The following is an 11,888-nucleotide window of genomic DNA, read 5'->3' as shown; positions in this document are numbered from 1 at the left end:
TCCCCACCCTGGAGGAGCACGGAGAGGGGGATGAAGCTGGCTACAGGCAGCCACGGAGCTCACAGACAGGGACAAGGAGAGAGAATAGAGAAGAGAGGAGAGAGGGGGAGCACTACTGATGGAAATTGGCCCCACTGTGGGGAAGCTCAGCCAGACTCATGAGCACCTGCCACCCAGGCTGCCCCCGGGCACTGCCCGCCCACCTGGCCACAGCAGGGCAGCTACCCGTGGTCACTGGGATGGCTGGATTCTAGGGAAGGCCCAGCCTGTGGGTGAGACTGAGACTCTAGGGCTCACCCAGCAGGGAAAGGAGTGTGGGCAGGGGGGATACGGTGGCGGGTGGCGGCGGAGCGGGGGCGGTGCCCAGGATAGACAGAGCATTTCAGAGGCAATGCTAATCCATGGGCCCATGGGCCTTGCCCAACCATCTCCTGCACGACTCAGCAGGGAGCCTGGCATGGGCAGGGATTAAGGAATACGGGAGAGGGGCCATTTCTTTTCACAGGAAAAGAACTGTGGTCCAAGAGCAAGGTTTCCTTTCAAATGAAGTGCATTACCCACCTCCTCATTGCAATTTTACTGTGTCCTATAGGCTCCCAGCATCAGGGACACAGAGTTTCCAGTCTCAGAATAACAGTGTCAGGCCTAGCCCCATCATTTGTGGGGCCTGAGGCCAAGAGCACAAATGCAAGGTCCCTGCCCCTTCCTTTCCTACCCCAGGCTCTTCGCTGCATCAGGAAAAACCTCCAGCTCTGTGTGCCCCTCCCCCAGGGTCAGATGCCCCTTGCGGGATGGGAGGTGTGTGGAGAGGGCTGGGTGTGGTGCAGGCTAGGGGCACATATGCCAGGGGTCTAGTCAGCCTCAGGACATGCTTGCAGATGCTGCCTGCAGGCACAGGTTGTCTGGACAGAGGATTCACTCTCCTGGGTCCCTGGGAGGAGGTCAGGAAGTGGCGGGAGGGAGTTGCAGATTCCACAAGGGGATGTTCCCTCTGCCCTACGGACTTTCCACTCCCTGGGGAGGAGTGTGGTTGAAGGGGGCCTCAGGACAGGGGCCTGGGTCTGCGTGTGGTACTGAGTGGTATGCAGGGTAAGCTGAGGCAGGAGGCTGAAGAGAGCGTCTGTGGATGGTCCTCCTGCTTGAGGAGCCTCTGAGAAGCAGGGCCCAAACACTGAGGAAAGCTGGGGGAAATGTCAGTGGACTTGGGTTGGGTCCAGGCTCCACCACATGCTGGCTCTAGCTGGATGGCTGCTAGTGCTTAGGTGCAAATTAGAAAAACGTGGCTCAGCAAGAGTTGCATGGGCTGGATTTCAGCCTTCTTTGGTCCCCTCGTGTAGGACGCAAAGTTTAGGGACAAGGAGGACCCAACGAGGGGGAAATGTACTTTCCAGTGATCTAACCCGCCTCCTGCCCTCCCAGAGCTCCAGGTCCCACAGCATGAGGGGTACGGTCCCTGTCAGCCAGAGGCAGGCGTAGCCAGCCCATGCCAGAGTGTGATCCCCCTGGGAGAAGCCCGGCCCATCAGACAGAGCATGGCTACACATTCACCCTCACCCCACCCAGGGTGAGGCATCCTTGTTTCTGAGTCTCCTTGACTCAGGGGCTCTCCCCTGCCATGCGCTGCTGGGCCCTGCGGCTCCTTTCTGACATGCGTGCCCTTCCTGCCTGCTCCAAACTTCCCTCCACCATCCTCAGCTACGGTGCTGAGGCCGGATCCCTCCTGCTGCACAGGACCTGAAGGCATTGATGCCAGTGGCTCCCAGAGACCTCTGGGGCATGGGAGGAAGAGGTGATGGAGTGCCCCTGACAGGAGCACCCAGGCTGCTGGCAGCTAGGAGAGCCACATCCTGGCATCTCTCCACCTTCCTTCTCTCCACCACCACTGTGAGCTGTGAGTCAGGCCCGTAGGATACTCCTGGATAGCTGGCAGTGTCACGCCACTTCTCGGGGGAAGCCACTGCCCCAGTTACTATTGAAGACGGGGTGGGGAACAGGGAGGATGGGGAGGTAGAGATACTGAACCTCACCCATTGGTTTAGTGGCTGGCTAAATTAGTACATGCTACCCCTGCACAGGCTGGTTCAGAGGCATCAAACAGGCTATCTGACCTGCGGAGTGGTCAGGAGGAGGGGAGAGAGCTTGGCAGTGGCGGTGGTGTGTGGGGATAGCCTTCTCGAGCTCCAGTGTGTTAAGATGCCTGGAAGGGGAGTGAGGGCCTGGCCTGGGGCTTCAAGGGGACTGAGGCCGGGTGCTGGTGGGCACAGGTGCTGGCTCCAGGCAGCAGCTTCCACAGCAGGGAGGCTGCGGGTGTGTGACTCACCTGGACAGGTGTGTGACAGGCCCAGGAGGCAGGCAAAGGGTCCCTCATCAAGATGCTGGGACTTCAGCCGGGTGAGGTCATGGGCTCTGACAGACCTGTCACCTCTGCCCCTCCACCCTGCACCTTACCCAGCCTTTCCTGACTCCCTGGGTCCGGCGCGATCATCTCAGGGCCCCTGCGGCACACGCTGGCTCTGTGTGCAAAGCTGAAAAGTGTTCCTGGTGTTGCTGCACACAGTTCTCTTCACACAGGCCAAGCGTCCAGCCTTTGGGCCTTTGCCCTGCCTGTCCCCCTGCCTGGAATGCTGGTGCCTACCTGTCCTTCCACACCCAGCTCGGCTCAGTCTTGGCTCCACCAGGCTATCCTTGGGCAGGAGCAACTGCCACTCCCCACCGTCTGAATGCCTGCAGCGCGTCATCTGCTGTCTCCTGACACCTGCACTCTCTGCTTTGCCCTTCTCTCCTCAGCTGGACTGGGCTTCACCTCTGTGTCCCTCCCCTTCGCCTGCCGTGCGGTTCCTCAGTGTAGGTCATCACCGGATGAGTGACACAACTTTACCCATTGCTCCGTAGCACTGCTCTTGCTTCAGGTGTTACCACTCTGTCCCCTAGCATGACTGTGAGCTTCGGAGAAACAGGGACCACATCTGAGGTTGCTTCTGGCTCCTCCACAGTGCCTGGTATGGTGCTGGGTCTAGACATAACGCTTAGCAGACATCCCCTGATAAAGACGCAGGAGTGCACTTTCTAATAAAGTACACCTATGAGACAGCAGAAACTGGCTGGAGCATAACCAGCCCCATGCTGCGGGCAGTAGCTTAATCTTTTTCTGATCTGAGAGTAGCATAGCACAGTTACCTTAGTTAAATTTACACCAGTGGTTCTCAACCTGGCACAATTTTGCAACCAGTGGGTATTTGGCAAAAGGAGTATCTAGAGGGTCGAGGCCCGGATGCTAAGCATCCCACTGGGTGCAGGGCAGTCTCCCGCAGTGAAGAATTATCTGGCACAAAATGCCAGCAGTGCCGAGGTTGCAAAACCCTGGGTCACACATTTACCTTCAGGTTCTCAGGCTGATGCTGGGACTTGATTTGCGTATGTGTCCCTATGCACTGTGGGAGCCACAAAAATAAGATCCAAGGAATGTTACCTAGCTCCCGAAGAGCTGGAAACAGAACATGGACAGAAGCATGTGCAGCACTGTACCTGCCTGGGAGGGCACCTCTGCGGCAGAAGGCTACTTGCCTTGACAAAAGGAAGGATCAGGGAAGCCTATATTGCTTCAGCTCACATCCCCATGGGACCCCGGGGCTGGAATTCCATGAGGGAATTCCATGAGGCCAGGTACAACCCAAGAGCTCTCAGTGTTTCCTTGGGGATCACCTGTTTTCTGAAGCAGCTGTGGTTTCCTCCAGTTGCCTCAGTGAGCTGGGGAGGGGTGTGACGCCATAAGGTTTGTGTTAGGGTTGACTCTAGGAAGCATCAAGAAGGTTCTGGAAACACCTTTTGCCTTAAGTTGGGTTTGGTATTGCTTTTTGAATTATTATACAAAAGTCAGTAATAAGAAATTCTCAGCCCATATTTCCATGTAGTTAGAATTCACAGGACCTCATGGTGTCCTGCTTTTCCTAGCTCACTGTGCCAGAGAGGGCCCCCGCTCCACCAATAGAGCCCAGAATTCTCTGCAGGGAGCCTCCAGAATCACTGGCCCATGGCTTAGGAGGCAGTACCCCAATTCAGGGCAGGCTGGCCTTGCTTCTCAAAACTTAGTAGAGGAGGAGAGGGCAGGCAGGTTTTCTGTAGTGGGAGCAATAGACAGGCATCCCTTCCAGCAAAAGAAAAAAAAATAACCCTTTCTTGGCAGAGGCAGTGCCTTACTCATCTGCACAGCCCTGGAGCACCAAGCCTAGCCTAGCACATGGTACCCACATGTAACAGTAACAGCCCACGTGTACAAGCTTTCCCAGGTGCCAGCCCCCCTTGCAAGCACATTGCATGGTCTCTCCTGTCCACGCTTGGAGATGAGTACTAGCATTGCTCATCACATTGCCACATGGGCACGAGCATCAGCCTCGCTTTATAGATGAGGACAGGAGCTTGGAGACGCTAAGTAGCTTGCTGAAGGTCACATAGCAAGTACGTGGTGAGCGAGGAACAGAACCCAGGAGTTCCAGCTGCAGAACCTGTGCTCTGACCTGCTGCATGGTACTGTCCCCACTAAATGGGGGAGGGATGGACGGATGAGCTCACTGGGCTCACTTAGGGTGGATTCAGCATTTTAGGGCAGGTATGGTTCAGGTGAACACAGGGGTGTCAGTGCTCCTCCGCAAAGGACAGAGTGTCAGGAGAGGTGAGGAATGAGTAGGTGAAGATGGAGAGAATAGAAGGAAGCCCAGGGAAGCCCTCCCTGGGCGCATAAGCATCCGTCACTGCCCTGTGTTCAGTCCCCTGCCAGCTGTCCTGGGCACCAGTGGGGCAGGCAAGAGATAATCTAGGTGGCCCTCCCCCCACCTCCCCCCTGCGCAGCCGGCTTTCCTCTTTGCCAAGAATGGCACGAGAGCAACTTTCACCTGCTCCTCCCTGCTACTCCACCCCTTGGCTCATCCTGGGTTCATGGCCATGGATTCTAATGCCTGTTTCTGCCCCCTCTGCCCTTCACTTTATTCAACCCAGCCTGCTCTTACCTCAGAAGCTAGGTAAGGCACTGTTGTACAAGCCTGAGAAACACTCCTGTGTGTGCACACAGAACCGTGCACAACGAAGCCTCCAGCCTCTGTGCCTTTTGCTCTCGCTGTTCCTCCTGCCTGGAATTCCCTACCCCAACCCCATTTGTGTTCTACTTATTGGCTGCTCAGCCACCAACACTCTCAGCTCAGGCACAGCCTCCATGAAGCCCTCCCTGAGCCAGAAGTTTCTGAGCCATGGTCTCACTGTTAGCATCCTTGTTTCTGAGCTTCCCTGACTCTGGGGCCTCCCTGCTTGTCTCGCTCCCTGGGACTGTGTACACGCTGATCCCTGCTTGCCCTCCTGGCTCTGATCTTTACCTGGTTCTGCCTTCATGGTCCCTGTGCCCTTGGTGTGACCTGAACCTATCCCACTGACCTCCAGCTCCACTCTGGTTTCTGTGACTGGTCTGCCCCTGCAGGTCCAGGGCTGCCGGTCCTTCCAAAATCGATCCCCTGTGGTCTGACGGAAACAGGTAACGAGAATTCCAAAGAAAGCTCCTGTAGCATCTGCCCCAGAGTCCTCCATAAAAACTATCCCATTTCAAAATATGCCAAGCTGGAGCAGTGTGTTAAGCATAGAATGGGATCCAAATATTCATCTTTCCCCATGTAGCAAAGCGATTTTATTTCCTATTAATTCTTTAATGGAACAGTTTAAACTAGAAGCAAAACTGGATATTTTCTAAAACTATAGATCCAAAGTGAAGCTAGAACAGCATAGTACTCTCTGAACCAAACCAATTTTTTTTTTTTTACACGAGGCCTTGCAGGAAATATGCAGAAATATTTCACTGTGACATTAAGGTGAGTAATTAGATATTGAGTCCTTTTTATTTCTTTTTTTTTTTGAGATAGGGTCTTGCTTTGCCACCCTGGCTGGAGTACAGTGGTACAATCATGGCTCACTGCAGCCTCGAACTCCTGGGCTCAAGCGATCCTCCCACCTCAGCCTCCTAAGTAGCTGGGACTACAGGTGCATACCACCATGCCTGGCTAATTAAATTTATTTATTTATTTATTTGTAGAGATAGGGTCTCACCATATCGCTCAGGCTGGTCACAAACTCCTGGTCTCAAGCAATCCTCCCAGCCTGGCCTCCCAAAGTGCTGGGATTATAGGCATGAGCCACCATGTCCTGCCAGAAATTGAGGGTTGGACTTAACATCGCTTGCGGGCAAGCTGAGCCCCAGATAGAGATTTTGGGGCACATTCACTGGTGCATAAGAGACAGGGCAGCTCAGCATCAGCTGGTGCCATCTTTGAGGTAAGTTTGAAGAACTTTATAAAACTGGAATTTCAAAATTTCTCCATTGGATTGATTCTGCCACAAAGAAGGGAGCTTCACTGAAGCATTCCTCTTCTGTATCTCCAGCCATTCTGAATAATTAGAGATAGGGTTTGTGAAGCTTCCTGCCAAGCCATATCTAGTCAAGGCAGTCCAGGCAGGTTGGGATGAGAGGCAGGTACTAGCCTATTCTCAGAACAGGGCATCAACAGCCAAAGAAAACCCAAGACCCTGCCAAGGTTAAGTTGCAGGGAGGAGAGCCCAGCCCGAGGCTCCCAGCTGGCTCTGTGTGTGAGAGGATTACAGAGGAAGCCGGAGGGAGGGTCAGGGAGCTCAGAACCACCCGCCAAACAGGAAAAGTGAAGCCAGCTGTTTCAGTGGCAACAGCCTAGGGGGAATTATTTTCTGGCAATTAACCATTAACTGCAGTGGGCTCAGAGGTGCAGCTGCCCGGCCCATTTGTGCAGAAAAGAGAGGATGTGGATTTGGGAGCCTTCAGCCATTCCTGTAACCAAGTGTCACTGTTAGAAGGATGGAGGTAACCTCTACCCCTCCTGGCCCCAGCCCAGGGCTCAGCGCCTGGGTTGTCCAGCTGCAACCACGCCAAAGGTTGGGATTCAGCCATTTCACCTGGAAGTGGCTTTACAGTGAGGGCTCAAGAATGTGCTCTGGCCAATGTCTGATACTGACTTGTGGTTCTGGGAGCAGAAAAGGGGGCCAGGGCTAGGGTGCAGAGAGCCGGTGGACAGAGAGAGGGCATGCTGGAAGAGGCAGGGAGGGAAAAAAACTGGGTCTTGGGGAGGCAGCAAGTCTTCTAGAGGCACATCAAGAAAATGTGGCTGAGGCCCTTCAATGTCCCAGCCCAAATGTTGGGGGTCTAAGGAGATCACACTGTGTGTGTTCCAGTGGGCGGTGAGGGTCATGGAAGGAGAACACAGTTTCAGAACTCCAAGCCAAAGACAGGCATTTACTAGGATTCAAGCTGGGACTACTGAGAGCCCAGTCTGAACAGGCTGAGTGAGAGCAGCCCCCAGACTGGGCATTAGGGCCTGGCCAGCTGGCTGGGGCAATGAGGGCCAGACCCCCAACAGGGAGACACGGCACAGGGAACTCAGAGGATGATGGTGTTCAGCGGATTCTGGCATGAGGAAAGTGACCAATTGCTACTTCCTCCCAGTGCCCTGGAATTACCCAGACTTTCCCATTGGCTGTCTTCTTGCAGGCTGTGGGAGAGATAGTACAGCCTGAAGGCACCTGTGCAAGGGGCAAGGGTAGGACAAAGAACAGAGGGGAGGACAAAGAACAAGAAGGAGACACCAGGCTCCAGGGAACAGGGCAGCCTGGAAGTTAGGGAAAGCCCAGAGAGGTCAGAGCCTCTGACCAAATCCAATACAAATTTAAACTGCCCGCATGGTCCTTTGCCTTTTAATACAGGCGCCTCATGTTCCTCACTAGACTCTAAGCCTAGAACTGGGTCAGAGTCCCTTTTTCCCTCCTCCCCTTCTCACCCTGCCTTGTGCCCAGCAGAGCAGGACATGCCAGGAATGTGCTGGAAATGCTTGTTGATGTTGATGAATTAGGCAGTCCCATCAATGCAATATGGAACATCCACTGCAGAAAATCGGAGGGAGGTGGTGGTGGAAGCTAATTGGCCATAGAACCACCCCATCAAGACAATGCTGCTGGATTGTGGTGATCAGGTACACCCGCTGCATCCCGAGAAGGATGGATGTCAACACAAACCCTATGAGTCTCTTGAGCGGTCAGCTCTTCAGGATGTTTGCATCCTGCTTCCCAAGGAGCCTTCAGGGTTCTGAGGTCCCCTGGTCCATTCCCCTGCCTGCACTGCATAAGCCACGCTGGATGAGGAAAGGACTCATGCTGGAGAGGGGTCGGGGTTCCCCAAGTCCTGGCTATAGAATGGTGGGGGCAGCTGACTCAAAGGTTAAAGAGCCACCAAACAGATGAGGCAAGGCCCACCTTGGAGCTGGGTGGCTGATGGAGCAACATAACAGAATGTGTAGGTAAGAAACGAGCCAGGGAGGACACAGTCCAGTTTCCAGGCATGGGGACTCAGGCTCTCCTCACCCTGAACTTCCCACCAGCGCCAGCTACTTCAGAGGATGTGGCCCAGCTCAGGCTGCAGGGCCCTGGGAGCCATGGCCCTCAGAATAACTCTTATTTATTTAGGTTCCTTCTTAAGGGAGCTTGGTCATGGTGACGGCAATAGTGATGTGAATGTTCATTAGAGCCACATTTTTACCATCTTTTTATAATGTGGTGACTTGCTTCCCAGGACCTGAAAATACTTCTTCGTTATCCTCACACATCATCCTGTATAAAATGGCAACACAAGGAGGCAGGCAGAAGCTGAGTGACTTACCCGAGGTCCCAGAGCAAGCTAGGCAAGGTACTCGAAAACCAGCTTTTGAACCCGAGCCCATATATTTTCACCTTTGATTGTGGACTTTAGTGCCCTGGTTGACCACGTCTTGGCCTGTTGGATGGAGGTGTGGCAATTCTGGATCCCCTTGTTTTAGAAATTGGTTTTTAGAACTTCTTACTTTTTTATCCATCCCCTAAATAGAAAAGAACTCCCAATAAAGACCCAGTTTAGTCTGAATCATCCACCATGATCTTCATTTGGCTTAAAATATAGAAGTTTTCAGAGCCCCCATTCACAACTCTAAAAATATCCCTTTCTTTTGATCTAGGTGGCCTCTGTTCTGGTCATTGACCATAGGCTCAGATGGCCTGAATTATCTCTCTCATGCAGGCTTTGCTAAAAAAGATCTGGTGTGAATAATTTAAGCCCCATTCCTGTTCCTGCCTGGCAGATTTCCAATGCCAAGCTGATCATCATTTCAGCACCAGCAGAGATGTGCTATTTCTGTCCCCGACGGCCACGTCCTTCTTGGGAAAGTGACTTTGAGGAGCTGCAGATGAGCTAGGAGGAAGGGCTGTGCCAGGACAGACATCGTGCCTGTGTGGAAGCTGGATGGTCCCCCTCTGGGTCATTCTTTGGGAACTCCTCCCCTGCTACTCCCGATCCAAGGTAGTTGCACATCATTCAGATGCCTGGTCTTTCATCTTTCCCTCTCCTCCTCAGGGACCACTTGGTCTAGTGATAGACTCACTGCCCTTCTCCTTTGGAGCTTCCCTCACCTGTCAGCTGATTCAAGATTTCAAATGGAAGTTAAACATGGAGGGGACAAAATGAAATGAAACAAGGAAGGAACTGCTAAGAGCCATACAGCACTTTTACACTGCCTTAACCACACCACTTGACTCTAAATGGGAGCCTGGGTTTTAAAATTCCTACCTGTGTTAGCCCAAGAAAGGTTGTACAGGCACCTTCTTGGTTTAAACAATCAAGTGCTCGATGCTTCACGGGCTGTTGGGCCAGGATGTGGATTACTCAGGATCCCCAGCTTTACCTCCTGCTCTGTCCTTGGGCCAGTTGTCATTGGTTCTTTCACAGAGGGGCAGATAAAGCAAAGAAAGCAGATTCTAGGCCATGGAGTTTGCTGTTTGCTAGCGCCCTGGCAGAGATGCCTGTCTCCACAGTCCTGCGTTGGTGGCTGAGTGCATGTGTGCGTGCATATGCATGTGTGTGCATGCATATGCATGTGTGTGCACGAATGTGTGTGCGTGCATGCACACTTTTTTCTGACCTCAGTTTCAAGCTGTTGCCTCCTTGATGTGTCTGTTTAGTGACTTGGACCAGAGAGATCACCAGTTCTGTGTGGGATGGGAGTGAACGCAGGCAAGTCTCTACAGAAGAGGGTAAAGTGGAGCTGAGAAGAAGCAGGGAATCTTGCACCAGCCTGTGCAACAGCTGCTGTGCCCCTCTCTGCCTCAAGCCCCAGAGGGATAAGGCTCACTGCCTGTTGACTCCCCGAAGTGCAGAAGGGTAGGGCAAGAGGTGCCCAGCAAGGCTTTGGGCAAGCACAAGGCCCTGACCTTCACTGACTCTCCACATCTCTCCCACATGCTCTGGGCACAGGGCTTGGTTCCCTCTGGGCAGGCCATCCAGACTAAGTGACAGCCAGGTTGAGACACAGAGGCTGAAGACATTCATTCTTCATGGATCAGCCTGGATGTCTGGACAGATCTCATGAACAGATGGTGTAAGAGGAAGTGTGGAATGGGAGGCTGTGATCAGTGGCTTGGAGAGCACAGCGTGGTCAGGTGCTAAAGCTTAGGCTTCCCTTCTGGCCTTTGAGATGGCCAAGGGGAAGCGCTCCTATGATTACACTATTCTCCAAAAAATCCAATAATTCTGAGTGTCTCCCACTAATGCCTGGGTGACCCACACACTCACCCACCCAGTGTCTTTCAGCCTGTAACCTTTGGATGGAGCACTGGACTCTGTGACCCTCAAGGTCCCTTCTAAGCTGAATATACTCTGACCCAGGTGTGCTGTTCTTTCCTTACTATAATGGGAGCAACGAGGCACTGAGATGCCTGAGGCTTCTAGGGTCCCCTCACTACACCCCTGTCTCTTGCCCTAGGGTTCCGGGCTAGGTGCTGGAGGGGACCCTCCCTTGTTACCAGCCAGATCTCCAAAAGCCACTGCTCCATGAAGACCTCTCCAGAGATGGAGGGCAGGGTGTGCCCTGCACACATCCTCCCCCTTGGCCTCTGGTCCCTCTGCCTCCCATCAGGCTTGTCCTCCTCCCCAGGGAAGCAGACTCTTAGAGGTGATTCCAACAGACAGCAACGCACAGTCCAGCTCCAGCCATTACTTGCTCCACATCTCAGCCCAGTTTCTTCATCTGGAAAATGGGGGTGAATATGACCTCTTGGGTTGCAGAAGAGTGTGGTGGGTCAGAGCGTGGGCTTGGAGGCAGACTGCATGCCACTCACCAGCAGTGTGTATCATGCATTTTAAAACTTCGCATTTTTCTTCTGCCTCCACATCCCTACATGCAGACTGTGCGCACCTGCTGGGGTGACCAGGTGCACCAGTGTGATAGGGCTGGCTCTGCTACAAGTTCCCCTTGCTACCCTCCCCTGACTGTGACCTAGTGACATTCAAATGCACCAACGGAATCCCCTCCTGCCTTTTCTTATGGCTCTACCCTGACCCCCAAGGAAAGGGTCTCACCCACTCTCTGTTCCCTGCCTGCTTGGGGGAGCCCTAGTCTTTGGCTCTCCGCCCGTGTGACCCCCACCTCCTGTTGTTGTGTGCAGTGAATCTGTCTAGGACAGGGTGTCTGATCTTTTGGCTTCCCTGGGCCACACATAAAACACAGTAACGACAGCTGATCAGCTAAAAAAAAAAAAAATCACAAAAAAAATCTCATAATGTTTTGAGAAAGTTTACGGATTTGTGTTGGGCCGCATTCAAAGCTGTCCTGGGCTGCATGCGGCCCGTGGGCTACGGGCTGGTCAAGCTTGGTCTAGGACCTGTGAGTCTGGTAAACTCTCTTGTCCTGTGCCTCTCCTGTGCCCCCTCTTGTGGCCACACCTGACTGACCATCACCTAAAAGAACACAACTGCAAGGTGACTCTGGGCAAATTGCTTCACCTGCCTCTGCTCTCCGTTTCTTCCC

General features: G+C 53.4%; 1 protein-coding gene across 6 annotated transcripts in view; it reads right to left on the bottom strand.

Annotated features, from left to right (window-relative positions):
• Nucleotides 1-11,888, bottom strand: part of TSPAN11 (tetraspanin 11) — an 89,755-nt gene that overhangs the window by 38,860 nt on the left and 39,007 nt on the right. The window lies entirely within an intron of this gene.

This window comes from Homo sapiens, chromosome 12 (genome assembly GCF_000001405.40).
Source record: "Homo sapiens chromosome 12, GRCh38.p14 Primary Assembly".
Taxonomy (NCBI): Eukaryota; Metazoa; Chordata; class Mammalia; order Primates; family Hominidae; genus Homo; species Homo sapiens.
Note: the sequence above shows the minus strand (reverse complement) of the source record. Positions and strands in the feature narration are given on the sequence as shown.